This window comes from Homo sapiens, chromosome 22 (genome assembly GCF_000001405.40).
Source record: "Homo sapiens chromosome 22, GRCh38.p14 Primary Assembly".
NCBI lineage: Eukaryota > Metazoa > Chordata > Mammalia > Primates > Hominidae > Homo > Homo sapiens.
This window is the reverse complement of record NC_000022.11, coordinates 17,591,227-17,612,947: the sequence shown is the minus strand read 5'-3', so window position 1 is coordinate 17,612,947 and position 21,721 is coordinate 17,591,227. Positions and strand designations below refer to the sequence as shown.

Here is a 21,721-nt window from a genome sequence, read left to right as displayed (position 1 = left end):
CAGGAGTTCGAATTCTTTCTCTACAGTTTTAAGTTGTTACTAATGCTATTTTTCAATACCGTTTTGCAGTCAGATGTCCAATTTGATGAATCAAGCGAGACTCAAAGTCCTCAGAGCAAGAGATGACCTTATCACAGTGAGTAATTAGCCCCTATTAGTTATAAAATTATTACATGTTTATTCATTTCCCTGTTGTAAATTACTAGTTAACATTAATTAAGGAGTTGATTGAATAATCTTTAGAGAGAAAACATTCCAATTATTATAATAAATACAAAAGTGAATAAGAGCCAAGGCCTGTATTGAAGGACCTTCTGATCTAAAGAGCATGTAAGACTCTCCTGGATTATAGCACACACTATGGGTGGACCGCACAGTAGTACATGAGGGTACAGGGACCAGTGAGACCAGAACCATAGGATGGTTAATACAGAGGCCATGAGTGTGAGGCTGAAGAGCTTCACCTGTTTTCAACAGAAAGCTGTGGAAACTTTTGTATTATTTTGTGGAGAATATCATAAATAAGGCTCATGATATAAGCGTGCAGGCTAAATTTAACAGGGAAGAGGCTGGAAAAAAGAAAACCATATGGAAAGTATTATAGTCCTCTAAGGAAGAGGGCAGAAACCTTCAGAAGCATACCACTTCATTGAGAAAGTGTAGAGCTATTTGGATTATATTCATAAGCCAAACAGGGATGCCTGCTGTTTCCACTGTTACTCATTGTGACTGTGGAGGCCCTAGATTCCTTATGAGTTGGAGAAATGAGAGTTACATAAATATTGGGATAGAAGAAACGAAATTACCATCTTTGCAGATACGGTTATTCAAGCAGAAAATATAAGGTTCAAAAAACATAAGATCCTATAACTAATCCAGCAATGTGACTGGCTACAAACACAATAGGAAATGAATAGTTTTCCTGTATGCCAACAATAACCAGTTTGCAAGTAAAATAAAAAGTAGATCTCTCTATAATAGCTACTAAAATTATTAAATTACTAGGAGTAAGTCCTATATGAAAACAGCTATAAAACTAAAAATATAGAACTTGAAAAAATGGAAGACATACTGTTTTCTTAGATGAGAAAGAAACACAAACCAGTATTCCAAGTTGTCAGTTCTTATTAATCGATGGTGGCAGTGAGAACTGAGTAGCAGTGTTAGTGTTGATGGATTTTACAGGAAGACTTTCCAGACATTCATTGACTCTGCCTTTTCTTCCAAGTCCATCACTAAATTCTGAGTATCAGGTGTGGATAGACTAGGAGAATGGTGGATCCATTAACAAAAATGGGAAGTCAAGATGCTGAAATGTTTCGTTAAGAAAAATAACTAGTTCTTTTTTCTGTTTGTTTGTTTTGGCATCCCTGGGTGGGCTGGACTTTTGGACATGTTTGAGGGACCAAGAAACCTCCAGATGTAAGTGTCAGTGAGGATGTTAAGTGTAAAGGACTGATATTTAGGACACCATAGAGATGATTTACTAATATAACTCCTATATTACTTCAAATAATAAAAGTTGCCCCAAATTTAAGTGCTTTATCTGCTTTGAAACTCCAGGAATGTGGGAAAATACAAAATCTGTTGCCAGTTTATCTTGCCACATGGGATTAGTTCATCCCCTTTAAAATACAAAAGAAAGAGTCAAGAGTTTCCTGGGGAAATGTTGCCTGCAAAATGTTACTAGCTCAGGACAACTGTTATTTTGCGTCTTCACTAAAGTGTCAATAATCAGGAGTTGATTTCCTTCCAGGGGATTCAAATTCCTTTAGCAACTTGGATTGACTGAATTAATTTATAACAGGCTTTTACAATAATAATGTCTTAGGGAAGGTAGTTTGTTGTAGAAGGGCTTGGGGCTTAAGAGTCAGTCAGCTATGAGTTTAAATGTCAACTCTGCCATATTCGTTTGTCTAAATTACTGTTTCTGACCCTCGGTTTTCTCTTGTATTCATTATCTATGTTATGTATATTCATTATGATGTTTGGTTCAGAGTGCTTATGAGAATCGAATGAGAGAACACATTTAAGTCCTCTGGCATGTAACATTTGTCATATCGTGTTTAAAAAATGTTAGTTCCCTTTCTCCAACCCCATCTCCGTCTCCACCAGTGATAACCCTTCCTTCTAATAATAGGCCTGTGTAGATAAAATATTCTTAGCTTATTGGGTGCTAATGCCCAGAAAGCCTCTTGACTATAGTCTTTTCATTATTTATGCCCAAAGTAAAAAATGACAACTGTGACATCTACTGCATAGATATTATTATTTGTACAATTCAAAAAAGTTTAGAGGCATGTAATGTTAATGTCTTGGCAGCATTCCTAAATATAAGTAGCAAGGGCTATAACACACAAGGTTATAGCAAAAGATTATAGTCTTAGCTAGTTAATAGGCTTTATAATTAGGTTTTTTATTTGGTTTGTTTTTTATGCCACCTTTTTGAAGGTTAATAATATTAAGAGTGGAAAAGATTCTGAGAAAGATCATCTAACATATTATAGAAATGGTTTTGATGATACATTCTCTGATGCTGTCCTGCCTTAGATGGTATACCGACCTTTCATAACTGGATGTAAACAACCCATAGGTCTAGTGGATTTGACTTGACTTGTAATTTTAACTTGTTATTTATTGCCCTTATTTTCTCTTTGCTTTAATTTTTTAATCCACTTGTTTATATTTTATTAGTTATTTTTTCTAATTTGCTTTTTAAAAAACGTAATTAACGTTTTCATTAGATATACTTCTGTAAGCTGCCTTAAATCTATTAGAATATATAAATAATTACTAGTTGGCTTTTAGAAGGAATTTTTTTTTAAGAGGCATGGTCTGGCTATGTTGCCCAGGCTGGAATGCAATGGTGCAGTCATAGCTCACAAACTCCTGGGCTCAAGCAGTCCTTCCCACCTCAGCCTCCTATGTAGCTGGGATAACAGGCAAGAGCCACCATGCCTGGCCTCAGAGGGAAAATTTGAAGTGGCATAGATAAGAAAACTTGACACCTAAAATTCAGATCATTCATTCATTTATCAAATACTTCAATATCGGTGCTTCTCAACTTTTTTCCCTTCTCTCTGGAATATTCATACAGTTATTTTACATTTTAGTAACATCTCTCATGACACACAGTGGTTTTCAAATTTTGAGGTGGAGGATATTAAAAGAAAGTGTGGGGCTGGGCGTGGTGGCTCAGACCTGTAATCCCAGCACTTTGGGAGGCCGAGGCGGGCGGATCACGAGGTCAGGAGATTGAGACCATCCTGGCTAACAACGGTGAAACCACGTCTCCACTAAAAATACAAAAAATTAGCCGGGCGTGGTGGTGGGCGCCTGTAGTCCCAGCTACTCGGGAGGCTGAGGCAGGAGAAAGGCGTGAACCCAGGAGGCCGAGCTTGCAGTGAGCTGAGATCGCACCACTGCACTCCAGCCTGGGTGACAGAGCCAGACTCCGTCTCAAAAAAAAAAAAAAAAAAAAAAGAGCAGGATGGGCATGGTGGCTCACGCCTGTAATCCCAGCACTTTGGGAGGATGAGGCGGATGGATCACTTGAGGTCAGGAGTTTGAGACCAGCCCGGCCAATGTGGTGCCCTGTCTCTACTAAAAATACAAAAAAATTAGCTGGGTGTGGTGGCGGGCGCCTATAGTCCCAGCTACTCGAGAGGCTGAGGCAGGAGAATTGCTTGAACCCGGGAGGCGGAGGTTGCAATGAGCTGAGATCCCGTCATTGCACTCCAGCCTGGGCGACAGAGTGAGACTCCGCTCAAAAAAGGAAAAAAAAGGAAGTGCAGTTGTATGGAATGAATTTTTGTTTGTTTGTTTGTTTGTTTGTTTTGTTTTGTTTTGTTTTTTGAGACGGAGTCTCGCTCTATCGCCCAGGCTGGAGTGCAGTGGCAGTGGCGCGATATCAGCTCACTGCAGACTCTGCCTCCCGGGTTCACGCCAGTCTCCTGCCTCAGCCTCCTTGAGTAGCTGGGACTACAGACGCCCGCCACTGCGCCCGGCTAATTTTTTGTATTTTTAGTACAGACAGGGTTTCACCGTGTTAGCCAGGATGGTCTCGATTTCCTGACCTCGTGATCTGCCCGCCTCGGCCTCCCAAAGTGCTGGGATTACAGGCGTGAGCCACTGCTCCCGGCCAATGAATGTGTTTTAATTTCAACTTAGGATAGTTTTCCAAAATACAGTAATCCATCATATTCTTTCAGAGATGGGCTAGCCAGGTGCCATGGCTCATGCCTGTGGTCACAGCACTTTATGAGGCCAAGGTGGGAGTGTGGCTTGAGGCCAAGAGTTTGAGACCAGTCTGATAAATATAGGGAGACCCTGTCTGTACAAAAAATTTTTAAAAATTAGCAAGGTGTGGTAGCGCATGCCTGTGGTCCCAGCTACTCTGGAGGCTGAGATGGGAGAATCACTTGAGCCCAAGAGTTTGAGGCTCCAGTGAGCTGTGATTATGCCACTGCATTCCAGCATAAATGACACAGGGAGACCCTGTCTCTAAAAATAATAAATAATAGAAACAAAAAGAAATGGGCTAGAGAAAAATAATTCTTTTTATGACCTTGAAAGACAAAGCAGTCATTCAGTTCATACCACATGTCTTTCCCGGATTTAGTCACTCTGAGTTTGTCTGCTGACTTTAAAATTGTTGCAAACAAAATTCTGGTTTTGGTACTCATGTTATCCCTCAGTTGTCACTCTTCTGTTTTCATGTCATAACTCAGTTGGGTTCCCTTGAGGCACTAAGCTGTTTGAATTTAACAGTACATTTATCCCATGTGTCCTGTATCGTGCTGGCCCCTCTAGGAGTCTGCAGTCTAATAGGACCTGGACAAGATAATACATCTCCACTACAGCTGTTTGAGCATGACTTGAAGTATTAGTCATGGGATAGGATACAGAATGGAGAGAGCAGTGTGAGTGAAAAACCGAGACCTGAATTTGACATGTGCGGGAAACAGAGGTAGTCTGGCAGAGTGGGGAGTGGGCAGAGAACAGGCCACATATTAGGGTCTAATTAGAAGGGCCTTGAGTGTCTGCTGAAGAATATGGACTTCATCCTTTTGGCTAATTCTCTAACTTTAATGGGCATAAAAATCACCTGGGGGACCTTGTTAAAATGCAGATGTTCATTCCCATTTCCAGAGACTTTTATATTCTAGTCAGGAGTCAGCATTTAAACCAGCAGCTCAGGGTAATCTTGGTGCAGGTAGTCTGAGAACCACACTTTGAGAAATAGTGTTTAATGGTTACATTTGTGTTAGAGGAACCCCACTGGTGACCATGTGGAGTAGAAACAAGGAGGGTATGGCTTACCTTCCAGGTCGAGAAGTAGAATGGTGGCAGCAGAAAGAGAAGACAGGCCTATTCCAGAGATCCTAAAAAGGTAGGAATCTGTAGGACTTGGTGACTTACAGTTGTGATGAGTGAATGCAAAGGAGTCAAGAATGACATAAGAGTTTGTAGTCTAGGCAACTGGTAGATGGAATGAAGATTAGAAATATGGGAAGATAATCCCAGCACTTTGGGAGGCCGAGGCAGGCAGATCGTGAGGTCAGGAGATCGAGATCATCCTGGCAAACATGGTGAAACCCCATCTCTACTAAAAATACAAAAATTAGCTGGGCCTGGTGGGGGGTGCCTGTAATCCCAGCTACTTGGGAGGCTGAGGCAGGAGAATTGCTTGAACCAGGGAGTCAGATGTTGCAGTGAGCCAGGATCACGCCACTGCACTCCAGCCTGGCGACAGAGTGAGACTTCATGTCAAAAATAAAAAAAAAAAGAAATATAGGAAGAACAGGTAAAGAATGGTGAAAAAAATCATTGTGTTTGAATTGCCTTAGGATTCCAGGTGAAGCTCTATGAGTCTGTTAGGAGAGAAGAGGAGCTTATGTGGAGACAACACAGAAGTCCCTGCTGGAGCTGTGGTTTTGGATGGAGAATTAGAAGAGAAGCGGGCCAAAAAAACTGAGAAGCATCAGATTTAATAGAAAATAAATTGCTAAGGAAATGTGGGGGAAAGCAGTTATGTTGGAGAATACAGAGAAGCCAAGGGAACGGCAAACTCAAAATGGTCTCTAATACAGTGTTCAATGTTTGAGAGAATGACAGTGGGAAGAGCATGGTGGTCTTTGGATTTGGCAGTCAAGATGTCGTTTTTCACATTTGCCAGAGCAGTTTCATTGGACTGATGAAGGCAGAAAGCCAGATTGTTATGGCATGAGAAGGGAGAAGTGCGTGTGAGGTGAGGAGCTGAAGGCAGCGTGCGTGGCCTGTTCACAAGCTGGGCTGTGTGTTTTAATCTCTTTTGGAACAAATCCAAGTATACTGTTGCATGCAACTTGAATTCAGTATATAGCTTGAGCTTTTATATTATTTCTCTGACTTATAATGAGAATTTTGAGAAGATAAACATTTATGTAATTTCAGTTATTCTAAAGATACTTGTTTCTTTTTTAACCGCTTACAGTCTTAACTTCTTGCCGTCATTGAACCCTGTAAATAAGAGATGTGGAGAGTTGAGGAAACAGACTGTGAAATGATACCGATCAAACAGGATTCAATCTGCATAAAAGCACACATACATGCTTTGAGTGGATTTTGCTATTTCTAAACTTTTTACTTCTAGTTTTATCCATAGAATAAGAAGCTGTGAAAGGAAAGGAAGTTGTCATGCAGTTAGAAAAGGATATTGACAAAAGATGGAAGGAAGGGGAAAAATACAGAACTGGGGTAAAAATTAAAAGAAAATAGGCAAGTTGTGTGGTGCTTTGGTCTAAGTTGCATAATCCTTTATAGATATTTGTCTGTGTTGATCCTTTTTCCTTGCCTGCCCAGGTGTTTTCCAGGATTAAGAGTGCAGGCTTTGGAATTCCTTTGAGGTTTAAGTTCCGTTTTTACCATTCCCAGCTGCTCAGTAGGCAGATTTTTAAACCCCACTTTACTCCTTTGAACCCTTCATTTCTTATAAAAAGTAGGAGAAGGCCAGGCACCATCCCCCATGCCTATAATCCCCACACTTTGGGAGGCTGAGGCAGGAGGATAGCTTGAGCCCAGGCATTCAAGACCAGCCCAGGCAACACAGTAAGACCTTGTCTCTACTAAAAATTAAAAAAATGTAGCCAGGCGTGGTGGTGTCCCAGCTACTCTGGAGGCAGAGGCAGGAGGATTGAGCTATGATTGTGCCACTGTACTTCAGCCTGGATGACAGAGCAATGCCCTGTCTCAAAAAAAAAAAAAAAAAAAAAAGAGAAACATCTACCTAAAGCTTATTTAGAAAAAAATTAGATCACCTAGGTAGAGTGACTAGTATAATGCCTAAAACAAAATGAGTGTTGAGTGAATGATAGTTCTTTATTATCATTTCCCCAAACCGCAAAACTTACAAGTTTTCTTTTTTCTTTTTCTTTTTGAGACGGAGTTTCGCTCTTGTTGCCCAGCCTGGAGTGCAATGGTGCAATCTCGGCTCACTGCACCCCCCGCCTCCTGGGTTCAAGTGATTCTCCTGCCTCAGCCTCCCGAGTAGCTGGGATTACAGGCATGTGCCACCATGCCAGGCTAATTTTGTATTTTTAGAAGAGATGGGGTTTTTCCATGTTGGCCAGGCCGGTCTCAAACTCCCGACCTCAGGTGATCTGCCTGCCTCGGCCTGCCAAAGTGCTGGGATTACAGGCGTGAGCCACCATGCCTAGCCATAAGTTTTCTTTTCTTTTCTTTTCTTTTTTTTTTTTTTTTTTGAGATGAAGTCTCACTCTTGTCCCCCAGGCTGGAGTGCAATGGCGTGATCTCAACTCACTGCAGCCTCCGCCACCCGGGTTCAAGCGATTCTCCTGCCTCAGCCTCCCCAGTAGCTGGGATTCACCATGCCCTACTAATTTTTTGTATTTTAGGTAGAGACAGGGTTTCACCATGTTGGCCAAGCCGGTCTCAAACTCCTGACCTCAGGTGATGCACCTGCTTCAGCCTCCCAAAGTGCTGAGATTACAGGCGTGAGCAACCGCACCCAGCCAAGTTTTCTTTTTTAAACGAGAATAAATAAGCATTAACATTTAAATTCTGAGACATTGGTACTGAAGTGGAGATTTCTATTGCTGTGGTTAGAGATGAAATAGAAATAAATGTCTTTGGCCGGGTTTGGTGGCTCATGCTTGTAATCCCAACACTTTGGGAGGCCGAGGAGGGCGGATCATGAGGTCCGGGGTTCGAGACCAGCCTGATCAACATGGTGAAGCCCTGTCTCTACTAAAAATAAAAAAATTAGCAGGCATGGTGGTGTGCACCTGTAATCTCAGCTACTCAGGAGGCTGAGGCAGGAGAATCGCTTGAACCCAGGGGGCGGAGGTTGCAGTGAGCCGAGATCGTACCACTGCACTCCAGCCTGGGCGACAAAGCGAGACTCCGTCTCAAAAAAAAAAAGAGAAAACAAAGAAATAAATGCCCACTGACTCTTCAGACTAGGCAGGGCCAGGGAGATATGGTTTTGATGTTGACATCATAATCAGGTTTTGGTTTCCTGCTTTTGAGGAGCAGGAAATATTTTCAGAATCCTCAGGGCAGTTAGGTTCAGTTGGGCAGATTTTCCCTTCCAAACTCATAAAATACAAATAAGCCCACATGTGAACTGCAGTAGTTTACAGTGAGAGACACATGTTGCTGTGGAAAAGCTACATGAGGAGCCAGATTATAACCAGAAAGTTAATTGAAGTTAGAGTCACACCAGAGGGTGTCACTGGGATGTTAGGAGCTTATCACACGGATGGTAATTATTGATCATAATTTACCTTTCTCTCCCGTGGTGACATAGTGGACAGGCATGCTTCAGACAAGGGATAACACAGTTTATGTCAATTAGGTTCTAGCCTGCTTAGCTAGAGTTTAGTTTATTTAGACTCAACGAATTGGCCTTTTAAAACTCCTTAATTACCGTTTCCCTGTTTTCCATAGTAGATTCCTTATGCAAATGGCTAGTAGCACGCTCCACAAGTTGACATTACTTAATTTACTGGAGTAGCCTCGTCTCCATACTCAGGCTGTCTATCCCTGTCTGTGTGACCAGTGTGGATAGGGTGATTCCAGCACAGAGAGGAAAAATGTTAGAGGGCTCTTTTGGTGGGGAGGAGCTAAGAGTTCTTTCAGCCAGATGTCTTATAGACAGGGTGTGTATCCCTTATCTGAAATGTTTGGGACCAGAAGTTTTTTGGATTTCAGATTTTTTGGATTTTGGAATATTTGCCTACACATAATAAGATATTTTGGAGATGGGACCCAAGCCTAAATACGAAATTCATTTTTAGTAGAGATGGAGTTTCACTCTGTTGCCCAGGCTGGCCTCAAACTCTGGGTTTAAGTAATCAGCCCGCCTTGGTCTCTCAAAGTGCTGGGATCAGAGGTGTGAGCCACTGCACATGGCTGAGGCTGTGCTTTCTCTTGAGCCTTAAAAACACAGTTTCCCAGGTTGGAGTGCAGTGGTATGATTATCATTCACGACAGCCTCAAACTCCTGGACTCAAGGGATTCTTGCACCTCAGCCTCCCTAGTACCTGGGACTACAGGTGCTCACCACCTGATTTTTTTTTTTAATTTTACAGAGACGAGGTCTCACTCTGTTGCCCCGGCTGGTCTCAAACTGCTGGGCTCAAGCAGTCCTGCCACCTATGCCTCCCATTAAAGACTGCATTTTAAAGTTTCTTTAAGTCTGGGCATGGTGGCTCACACCTGTAATCCCAGCACTTTGGGAGGCCGAGGCAGGCAGATCACTTGAGGTCAGGAGTTCAAGACCAGCCCGGCCAACATGGTGAAACTCCGTCTCTACTAAAAATACAAAAATTAGCTGGGTGAGGTGGCGCACGCCTGTAACACTCAGGAGGCTGAGGTGGGAGAATCGCTTGAACCCGGGAGGTGGAGGTTGCAGTGAGTTAAGATCAGGCCACTGCACTCCAGCCTGGGCAACAGAGCGAGACTCCGTCTTCAAAATAATAATAATAATGTTTCTTTAAAATAACTATCATACAGTATGATTACTTTTTCTCCATTTAACAAGTGGTGTGCTCTGTTTAACTTTATTTACAATTATAAATGAGTGAAAGTATGATTCATTGACCAATGAATGGCATTAAATCTTGTTTGTTTTAGGGACAGAGTATGTATTATAAACCAAAATCTTAGAATAAATAAATAATGTTTAAGTGTTAAAAGTTTCTAAAGACAGAAACTATATTTATCACTTGGTATTTGGAATCTTTGCATTTGGAGCTTAAGAAAGTCAAATGGCCAGGCGTGGTGGCTCACGCCTGTAATCCCAGCACTTTGGGAGGCTGAGGCAGGCGGATCACGAGGTTAGGAGATTGAGACCATCCTGGCTAACACGGTGCAACCCCATCTCTACTAAAAATACAAAAAAATTAACTGGGTGTGGTGGCGTGCGCCTGTAGTCCCAGCCACTTGGGAGGCTGAGGCAGAAGAATTGCTTGAACCCGGGAGGCAGAGGTTACAGTGAGCTGAGATCGTGCCACTGCACTCCAGCCTGGGCAACAGAGCGAGACTGTCTCAAAGAAAAAAAAAAGCCTTGAGTTTTCTTTTAGCCCTTAAGCCTTATTACTTAACAAATGATATCCAGTGTGTTCTCAGCCATATGAGATTTGTTTCCTGATAGTATTCCTATTTTAGTTATTTTTATTATAGAAGCCAGTGTTTATTGGAGACAGATTAGAAAATACAAACTAACCAAGAAAATTGAGGCTGGATATGTTGGCACACTCCTGTAATCCCAGCACTTTGGGAGATCGAGGTGGGAAGATTGCTTGAGGCCAGGAGTTCAAGAGCAGCCTGGGTAATATAGCAAGACTCCATCTCTATAAAAAATAAAATAATATGAGCTGGGTATAGTGGTACACGCCTGTGGTCCCAGATATTGAGGAGGTTGAAGCGGGAAGATCACTTGAGCCTGGATGGTCAAGGCTGTAGAGAGCCATGATTGTATCACTGCACTGCAGCCTGGGCAACAGAGCAAGACCCTGTCTCAAAAACAAACAAAGAGGGCTGAGGGCGGTGGCTCATGCCTGTAATCCCAGCACTTTGGGAGGCCAAGGCAGGCGGATCACCTGAGGTCAGGAGTTAGAGACGAGCCTGGCCAACATGGTGAAACCTTGTCTCTACTAAAAATACAAGAATTAGCTGGGCGTGGTGGTGGGCGCCTGTAGTCTCATCTACTCAGGAGGCTGAGGCAGGAGAATTGCTTGAACCCATGGGTGGAGGTTGCAGTGAGCCGAGATTGCACCATTGCACTCCAGCCTGGGTTAGAAGAGTGAAACTCCATCTCAAAAACAAACAAACAAAATTGAAATTATTCGTAATCTGGCCTTCCAAAGGTAGACTGTTCGTATTTCGATCCATAGCCAGACATCTGGTTTTTTTCCTTAAAAAAAATGGGGTAATCTTGTATAACCGTTTAATAGCTTGCTTTTCAAAGTTACATCGCGCGCATCTTTCCATGTCAGTCACTTGTGTCGGTTTCTGAACTGATGGTTACCTGAGCTATTCTCTGCTAGGCCGTGGACTCCCTGGGAGCAGAGACGGTGTTACATGCTTCCTTGTACCCAGCACAGCCCCTGCTTTATCTCAGATCTCAGGGAATGTGTGTTGAATGAAAATCCAGCAATAAAATGTGAGGCAGCTGGGCATGAGCCAGGATCAGCCTCACAGTGGGTTCTGAGCCGACTGCCCAGATGTGTAGATAACTTTTATCTTTTCTAATCTTTGTAGGACCTACTAAATGAAGCAAAACAGAGACTCAGCAAGGTGGTAAAAGATACAACCAGGTACCAAGTGCTGCTGGATGGACTGGTTCTCCAGGTACCCTCATAGACCAGATCTACTGTTGATAGCCACAGTTCTGAGAAAATTTAGAATGCCTATTAGAGACCAGCTCTATTTTTTCCTGCTTTCTCATTTCTCTAGTTTTTTTCCTTTCACCCTTTTTTTTTCTTTTAGCTTTTTTACTTTCACTCTTGACCATATCTAAAATGTGTGCTGCATAGGAAAATAGTAAATCTGTCTGCTTGGATAAGACTTCCAGGCCTACTACTCAATTATGTAGTCTTACATGACTTAAGGGTCAAATTTGCTTGCAATGGCTAGCTTTAAATTCCCTTAATTTGATTTTGCCACTAAAATACTTGCTTTAGATTTAGGATTCAGACCAAACACTGTATATGTTTTAATTGTTTACTGCTGAGCTGTGAATCCTTATTTTACTTATGTTAATTACAATAATATTTGTCCTCAGCTTGGTTGATGTAATATAAGATGTCTGCATGAATTTTGTTTCTATCACCAAAGGTTTGGGTTCATTTATCTGGTTTGGGATAGATAGATCTTTCCATGGTCTTATGTGATATATGCCATCTGTTAGTGGAACTTACCAGGGGAAATTTTTCCAACCTAAATGAAAGAACTGTAGAAGCATCTTATTTTACTGTTGCTTTATTTTATTTTATTTTTATTTTTGGAGACAGAGTCTCACTCTGTCAGCCAGGCAGGAGTGCATTGACATCATCTCTGTTTACTTCAACCTCCGTCTCCTGGGTTCAAGCCATTCTCTTGCCTCAGCCTCCTGAGTAATCTGGGATTATAGGCACATACCATCATTCCAGGCTAATTTTTTGTATTTTTAGTAGAGATGGGGTTTTGCCTTGTTGCCTAGGCTGGTCTCGAACTTCTGAGCTCAGGCAATCCGCCCGCCTTGGCCTTCCAAAGTGTTAGGATTACAGACCTGAGCCACTGTGCCCGACCTGTTTCTTTATTTTATAGTTTGCATTTTCTACTGACTGTATCTACTATTTCTTCCAGGGTTTGTACCAGTTGCTGGAGCCCCGAATGATTGTTCGTTGCAGGAAACAAGATTTCCCTCTGGTAAAGGTAAAGAACTTAGGATAATTTTTTCCCTCCCTCCCTCCCCCCTCCCTTTCTTCCTTCCCCTCTCTCTTTCTTTTCCTTCCTTCCTTCCTTTTCTTTTTTTTTTGGTGGAGTCTCACTCTGTTGTCCAGGATGGAGTGCAATGGCGGGATCTCCACTCACCTGTAACCTCTGCCTGCCGGGTTCAAGCGATTCTCCTGCCTCAGCCTCCCGAGTAGACTAGCTGGAATTACAAGCGTGTGCCACCATGCCTGACTAATTTTTGTATTTTTAGTAGAGGGAGGGTTTCACCATGTTGGCCAGGCTGGTCTCGAACTCCTGACCTCAGGTGATCCACCCGCCTCGTCCTCCCAAAGTGCTGGGATTACAGGCATGAGCCACCGCGCCTGGCCGTAAAAACCCACTTCTATCTTTTATTCCAGGGATCTAGTTTCCTTTTTTTTTTTTTTTTTGAGATGGAGTTTCGCTCTCATTTCCCAGGCTGGAGTGCAATGGTGCGATCTCGGCTCACTGCAACCTCTGCCCCCCCGGGTTCAAGCAATTCTCCTGCCTCAGCCTCCCAAGTAGCTGGGATTACAGGCATGCACCACCATGCCTGGCTAATTTTTTGTATCTTTAGTAGAGACAGGGTTTCACCGTGTTGGCCAGGCTGGTCTCAAACTCCTGACCTTGTGACCTGCCTGTCTCAGCCTCCCAAAGTGTTGGGATTACAGGTGCGAGCCACCGTGCCCTGCCTTTCTTTTTTTTTTTTAATGGTGGTAAAATACACATACCATTTTAACCATACATTGTGCCATTAAGTACATTTACAATATTGTGCAGCCATCACCACCATCCATCTTCAGAACTTTTCCATTTTCCCGTACTGAAACTTTGTGCTCATTAAACACTAACTCTCCATTATTTCTCTTCTCTTCTCTTCTCCCCCATTCACCTCATATAAGTGGAAACATTCAGTATTTGTCTTTTTGTGACTGTTTCATTTCACTTAGCATAATGCCTTCAAGGTCCCTGTAGGGTGGGTCAGAATGGCCTTCCTTTGTAAGGCTGAATAATATTCCACGGTATGGATGCCCCACGTTGTGTTTATCCGTTCATCTGTCACTGGACACTTGGGTTACTCCCACCTTTTGGCTGTTGTGAATAATGCTGCTGCAAACATGGGTATACGGATATCTGTCCTGCTTTCTATCCGTTTGTCTGTATACCCAGAAGTAGAATTGCTGGATCATGTGGTAATTGTGTACTTCATTTTTTGAGGACCTATTATACTGTTACTTTGATAAGAACCATCCTTATGGGTATGGCATGGCACTGCTGTTTCTGGTGCCTGCTGTCTCCCCCTCATCTGCAACTGCCAGTTGAAGCTCATGCCAGCAGCCAAACTTCTCTTCCCTCCCTTCTCTCCTTACCTACCCCCAGCTTCTAACACTCTCAGCTGGGGGAATAATGTATCTTCCTCCTGCTGATCCATGTTTCAAATGTAATAACTGCCTCTGGTGTGTTTAATCACCTGCCAAGCCCTGTTAAATCTTGACAGAAACCATTCGCATCTCTTCCCTCCTGTGTGCAGACTGTCATTTCTCCTCAGTGGCCGTGCCGTTTTACATTCCCACCAGCGGTGCCTCTGTTCTTTTACCTGGGATAAATGGAGGTATCCTTGCTTGTATAGTCTGTTGAGTTTTTGGATACTTGCTTCATAGTTCCTAGTGACACCTCTCATTGTGTTCTATACTTCCAGGCTGCAGTGCAGAAGGCAATTCCTATGTACAAAATTGCCACCAAAAACGATGTTGATGTCCAAATTGACCAGGAGTCCTACCTGCCTGAAGACATGTAAGGAGTATTCCTGCTGCTAACAGCTACCTTCTCTCCCTGGGAGAGTGGCCTTTATACCAGGCCTTTTTTAAATGGTATTTTCACCATTTAAACGCACTCTTAGACACAAGGCTAGAGCTGTGGTGTATTCTACTTGCAGCCGTTCCTGTTGTTCTCGCAGTGCTCTCTTGCTCTCCCTTGTTGGCTGGCTAAATATACTCTAAAAGTCTAGTTTGGCCAGGTGCGGTGGCTCACGCCTGTAATCCCAACACTTTGGGAGGCTGAGGCAGGTGGATCACAAGGTCAAGAGATCGAGACCATCCTTACCAACATGGCCTAGGGAGCTAGACTCCCTATCATACCAGTCCACCCTCTGCTCATAGTCCAGTCCTGTCTCTACTAAAAATACAAAAATTAGCTGAGCGTGGTGGCGCACGCCTGTAGTCCCAGCTACCCAGGAGGCTGAGGCAGGAGAATTGCTTGAATCCAGGAGGTGGAGGTTGTAGCGAGCCAAGAACACGCCACTCACTGGACTCCAGTATGGCGACAGAGCAAGACTGCATCTCAGAAAAAAAAAAGTCTGGTTTATGGTCACTGCTTTCCTTCTGCGGGGAGGTGGCCCCCAGAATGAAAGCTAGGACCAGATCTCTGTATTGGATGCTGAGGTAGATACTCCCTTCTTCTAAGTAATAGTTATCAAAACAAGAATTGTGTATGCCTGGTAGTTAGGTTCCTTAGAGATAGAATTGCAAGTATGAGTGGTATTTTTATGACTGTGAGGAAATGACAGAACATTTCTGGGATCAGTGTTCCTAACAAGCTTTGTGTAGCTGGGGTAGGCAGTAGAAACTCCTGACAAGGGGAGAGCCAGTGTCATTTTCTCGATTTCACTGGCCTGTCTGAGGCCACCTAGCCACACTACTGACTAACATTGAAGAAAGTACCTTGGACACTTTTTTTTTTTTTTTAAGACAGGCAGTCTCACTCTGTCACCCAGGCTGGAGTACAGTGGCATGATCTTGGCTCACTGCAACCTCTGCCTCCCAGGTTCAAGCGATTTTCCTGCCTTAGCCTCCTGAGTAGCTGGGACTACAGGCGCCTGCCACCACGCCCAGCTAATTTTTTTGTATTTTTAGTAGAGATGGGGTTTCACTGTGTTAGCCAGGATGGTCTCGATCTCCTGACCTCGTGATCTGCCCGCTCGGCCTCCCAAAGTGCTGGGATTACAGGCGTGAGCCACCATGCCTGGTGCCTTGGACACATTTTGAAGTTAGCTGATTATCACACTTAGGAATGTAAGACCTAGATTTGAGTCCTATCTTGGCCTTTTGCTACTATGGGACCTGGAGACTGAATTCATCATATGTAAAATAGGATCATTGCTTTTTGCTTTTTTGTTTCATGCAGTGAAGAAAAAAAGATGAGATAGTACATGTGAAAATGCTCTGTAAATGGAAAAAGTATATAAACTCATAAGATATGCTGTCAGAGTTGGGTTAGATTCCTGATTCTGCCACTTACTACCTGGGTAATCTTGGACTCGTTTATTCAGTTTCATTGAGTGGTGTCGTCCATTTAGTGTTGCTATAACAGAATACCCGAGGCTGGGTAATTCATGGAGAAAAGAGGTTTATTTGGTTCATGATTCTCATGGCTGGAAAGTTCAAGATTGGACAGCTGCATCTGGTGAGGGCCTCAGGCTGCTTCCACTCATGGCAGAAGGTGGAAGGGGAGTGGGTGTGTGCATAGAGACCACATGGCGAGAGAGGAGGCCAGAGAGCCTAGGGAACCAGACTCCCTATCATACCAGCCCACCCTCTGCTCACAGTCGAGTCCTGCCGGAGCTAGAATCCAGGCCCTCGCCACAGTTCATTGCCTCGGGATCTGCCCTTGAGCCCTGAACACCTCCTACTATGCTCCACCTCCCAACACTGCCACATTGAGAATCAAATTTCACCATTAGTTTCTGAGGGAACAGACTCAAACCATAGTAGTGAGCCCTGATTCCCTTATCTGTAAATTGACGTATTAGCACTAACCTCATAGCATTTTTTATCTTATTTATTTATTTATTTATTTTTTGAGACAGAGTCTCACTCTCACCCAGGCTGGAGTGCAGTGGCACGACCTCGGCTCACTGCAAGCTCCACCTCCCAGGTTCACACCATTCTCCTGCCTTAGCCTCCCGATTAGCTGGGACTACAGGCACCCGCCACCATGCCTCGCTAATTTTTTTTGTATTTTTAGTAGAGACGGGGTTTCACCTTGTTAGCCAGGATTGTCTCAATCTCCTGATGTCGTGATCTGCCCACCTCGGCCTCTCAAAGAGCTGGGATTACAGGCGTGAGCCACCGCACCCAGCCTCTTTTTTTGTTGTTGTTGTTGTATTTTGAGTAAGGGTCTCTTTCTGTCACCCAAGCTGGAGTGCAGTGGTGTGATCTCGGCTTGCTGCAACCTCTGCCTCCTGGGTTCAAGCAATTCTCCTGCCTCAGTCTCTCAAGTAGCTGGGACTACAGGCACGCCCCACCATGCCCAGCTAATTTTTGTATTTTTAGTGGAGACAGGCTTTCGCCATGTTGGCCAGGCTGGCCTCAAACTTGAGTTTGGGAGCACCTCGGCCTCCCAAAGTGCTGGGATTACAGGGGTGAGCTACCACGCCCGGCCAGCAGTGGCATCTTTTATCAGACACACATGCAGTCGTGATAGGGCCTCATCAGTAATGAGCAGGATTGGGCTTAAGAAAACATTCAGATGAGGATTGAGTGATTTGCAAACTGAGATGAAATCCTCTCTTTTTCATTTTGTTGGGGAGGGCTGGCTGTGATAATTAAAACAGGTTTTGTAACATAAAATCAAATTGACACAGGCTGGGCGCGGTGACTCACTCCTGTAATCCCAACACTTGTGGAGGCAGAGGTGGGCGGATCACCTGAGGTCAGGAGTTCAAGACCAGCCTGGCCAACATGGTGAAACCCCGTCTCTACAACAATACAAAAATTAGCCAGGCGTGATGGCAGGTGCCTGTAATCCCAGCTACTGGGGAGGCTGACGCAGGAGAATTGCTTGAACTCGGGAGGCAGAGGTTGCAGTGAGCCAAGATCGCACCATTGCACTCCTGCCTGGGCAACAGAGCGAGTCTCAAAAAAAACAAAACAAATTGACACATAGTGTCACTTGGTAAATGACAGTTATTGAGATGAATACAGTCAGTTCTCTGTATCTTTGGGGTCCACACCTGTGAATTCAACCAACTTTTTCTTTTCACTCCCTAAACACTACGGTATAACAACCATTTACATCGTATTAGCTATTTTAAGTGCTGTAGACATGATTTGCAATATAGGGGAGGATGTGTGATGGTTGTATGCAAATACTACGCTGTTTCATATAATGGACATCTAGGCGGGGACTGGGGTTTCCTGAAACCAACTGTGCGTTACATCTTCAGAAGCTTTTTCAGTTCCTTTCAAGCCTGTTGCTTAGGTTGCGCAGTCTACACACCAAGACAAGGGCATTCCTCTGCGGGAGTAAAGGGTACCATGTATCTTTCTCAAGTCTTTGAAAATGATTATTTCCTGTGCTTTTTTTTTTGCAGAGCTGGTGGAGTTGAGATCTATAATGGAGATCGTAAAATAAAGGTTTCCAACACCCTGGAAAGCCGGCTGGATCTCATAGCCCAGCAGGTGAGTGTGGGGGTACTTCTTGGTAGTTGGTCTGCTGTTACTTTGAAGTGGGACAGAGAACACGTGTCCATTCACTGGTATTTGGGATTTGTTGCTGTCTTTCCAGTTTTGGACATTTTCTCAAAAAGAATGAGAATTGGGCATGTAGTAGCATTTGCTGAGGTGGTAACATTTACATGAGGGTGAATTTGGGGTCAGAACAAGTGTTTTGTTGACCTAGGATTCGAATATGTACATTTTACTACATGTAAGGTGCTGACAAGTTCTTTCTCTAACAGGAGTGATGGGAACTAAAGCAAATACTTGTGTTTTTTTGTTTTGTTTTGCTTTTTTGAGATGGAGTTTCACTCTTTTTTGCGCAGGCTGGAGTGCAGTCTTGGCTCACTGCAACTTCCACCTCCCAGGTTCAAGCGATTCTCCTGCTTCAGCCTCCCGAGTAGCTGGGATTACAGGCACCTGCCACCACACCCGGCTAATTTTGTATTTTTAGTAGAGACGGGGTTTCACCATGTTGGCCAGGCTGTTATCAAATTCCTGACCTCAGGTGATCCACCCGCCTTGGCCTCCCAAAGTGCTGGGATTACAGGTGTGAGCCACCGTGCTCAGACACAAATACTTATTTAAAGGAATTATCATAAAGCTGCTGGCTTTTCAGATGTTTCCAGATTTGTACACAGGAACTCTAGGAAACAAGCCAGGAAAATTCCATTTGTTCTAAAATGCTGGGCATCTTCTAGACTTCTAGTGGGAGTCTATTGCTGTGGCTGCCAACCTAGTTATTCCCTGACCTAGATATGCAGTTTACTGTTTATGCAGATACTTGTCTTATAACTAAAGCACTTTCACCTTGATTTTTTCATATTCTGGTAACTTAAACCTCAGAACATTGTTTCCTAGTAGCCACTGTCCCATCCAGTATCATAGCCACTACTCACTTACGGATATTTAATTAAACCGAAAAATTCAGTTTCTCAGCACACAATAACCATCTGTAGCTAGGACTGCCCTGTTGGACAGCCGAGCCTTGGAAGTCCAGGGTTAAGTTCTCCTAAGGATTCATCAGTGGCTGTAGCAAGTGCTTCCAGCCTAAGCTGGCATTGGAAGTGTTCTTTGCAGCTGCTGTGGCCATAGTAGGCACTCAGTAAATGTTTGTTGAAGAAAGAGTGTAGGTGACCCAGCATATTGTGGTGAGATGATTATGATGAGTTAAGTCTGAGATAGTAGTGACTTTAGGTTTTTTTTTGTTTTGTTTTTTTTTAATGTGTCCCTTTTGTAAGCAGTCTGAACCCCAGATTTGGGATGAGTTAAGTTTCTCACCAAGGAATGTGTTACTTGCTTCAGGGAAGGAGAGGGTGGCTTTGATGTGCGTGGCTTTGTGAGTCCTTCCCAGCCACATAGAGGTTCATGGCTTTCCACCTGTGGTTAAGATGTGCAGCACTCTGGCCAGGCTTGGTGGCTCACGCCTGTAATCCCAGCACTGTGGGAGGCCGAGGCGGGTGGATCACGAGGTCAGGAGATCGAGACCATCCCGGCTAACATGGTGAAACCCCGTCTCTACTAAAAATACAAAAAAATTAGCCAGGCATGGTGGCAAGCACCTGTAGTCCCATCTACTTGGGAGGCTGAGGCAGGAGAATGGCGTGAGCTTGCAATGAGCGGAGATGCGCCACTGCACTCCAGCCTGGGCGACAGAGCGAGACTCCGTCTCAAAAAAAAAAAAAAAAAAAAGATGTGCAGCGCTCTACAACTTCTTCAGCTGACATTGCGTATTTATTACACTTTCTCTCCACAGATGATGCCAGAAGTCCGGGGAGCCTTGTTTGGTGCAAATGCCAACAGGAAGTTTTTGGACTAAGCCTTCAGGAGGTGGAGCTCGTCGTCAGCTCTCCTGCTGTGATGTGGAAGCTTCTGATATTTGAAGAAACACGAATGTCTCTGTAGCTTCCTCTTCACTGCCCCAGTATTGCTCTGTATTTATCAGCGATGCCCCTCTGTCACTCATGCCTTGCCTAATTGTTCACAATGGTGGAAAGCTTCATGTAATATGATCAGGACCCACCTCCAGTTCTTCTGAAAGTGTGACAGTGTCCAGCCGGTTCTGCAGCACTAGGGGAGGGGGCAGATGGTGGTTGCATGGGCTTCCTGGGTCTCCACTCTCCGTCTGGCCTAAAGGTGATGTATTTGGTGTTTGGCCCTGCAGTCCCCACTCTTGAGGCTTAAGGCGCATGTGGCACACCACTCCTTCCAGCAGTAGTCGCTTTACTGTTACCTGTTTAGGCCTAGAAGTTTTCCCTCATCTGTAAATGTGATTTAAAATCTAAGCCATGAATATGCTTTATTTATTAAAAGAGTTATGCGGATTTAATGTGATTTCTAGTGTAAGGCACTACAAATTTAGGTTTTGACAGAGTCAAATTCTTACTGAGGCACCTAGAAAAGAAGTATTTTCCCAATCCCCGTGGCACTTGATGGTGACAGCTGTCAGCACCTGGACCCGTTAACCCTCTGGGGGTCCCCTGGGCTGTTGCCCGTTGTTCCCAGCCCATCACCAGGAGCATTCTTTCCACCCTTGCAATCTTCCACACACCCCACATGGCTCTTCAGCGTGACGTGCACAACTTTATTGAGGAAATAGTTTTATTAGTGTTGCCCGAATGAGAAAAACCAAGTTGTTTGTTTTTTCTTTTTCTTTTTTTTTTGAGACGGAGTCTCGCTCTGTTGCCCAGGCTGGGGTGCAGTGGTGCCATCTCGGCTCACTGCAAGCTCCGCCTCCCGGGTTCGTGCCATTCTCCTGCCTCAGCTTCCGGAGTAGCCGGGACTACAGGCGCCCGCCACCACGCCTGGCTAATTTTTTGTATTTTTTGGTAGAGACGGGGTTTCACCGTGTTAGCCAGGATGGTCTCGATCTCCTGACCTCGGATCCGCCTGCCTCGGCCTCCCAAAGTGCTGGGATTACAGGCGTAAGCCACGGCGCCAGACCCAAAAAACCGAGTTATTTTGGAGCAGGTCACTGTGTGCTGGAACCAGATCCTTTCACAGAGGCCCTGTTCTTCCTTCCCTGTCCCATGTTTTATTTTTCCGTAGGTGACGACTAAGAGCTGCCCAGGGCCTTGCAGCTAGTACATGGTGGAGCTGGGACTTGAACTGAGGTCTGTCTCCAGGGCCCATACTCAAATGCAGTTCTCATAACAGAGAGTGAGGCCCCCAGGGCTGACCATGTTAGCACCATCCTCTTCCTTGTTAGCCCAGGTTTCACAGTAGATGGGACTATTGTAAACACCAGCTCCTGCAGCAGGTGCTGA

At 44.2% G+C, this 21,721-nt stretch overlaps 1 protein-coding gene across 3 annotated transcripts in view; it reads left to right on the top strand.

Moving 5' to 3' along the window:
• Positions 1-20,812, top strand: part of ATP6V1E1 (ATPase H+ transporting V1 subunit E1) — a 36,687-nt gene extending 15,875 nt beyond the window's left edge. For 2 of the 3 annotated variants that reach the window (NM_001039366.1, NM_001696.4), the window contains 6 exons: positions 70-136; positions 11,767-11,856; positions 12,853-12,921; positions 14,660-14,754; positions 18,332-18,419; positions 20,212-20,812. In NM_001039366.1, the coding sequence (NP_001034455.1) occupies positions 70-136; positions 11,767-11,856; positions 12,853-12,921; positions 14,660-14,754; positions 18,332-18,419; positions 20,212-20,274 (472 nt within the window). In that variant the 3' untranslated portion in view covers positions 20,275-20,812. The remainder of the gene's footprint in view (positions 1-69; positions 137-11,766; positions 11,857-12,852; positions 12,922-14,659; positions 14,755-18,331; positions 18,420-20,211) is intronic. The other variant, NM_001039367.1, reaches the window with a different exon arrangement.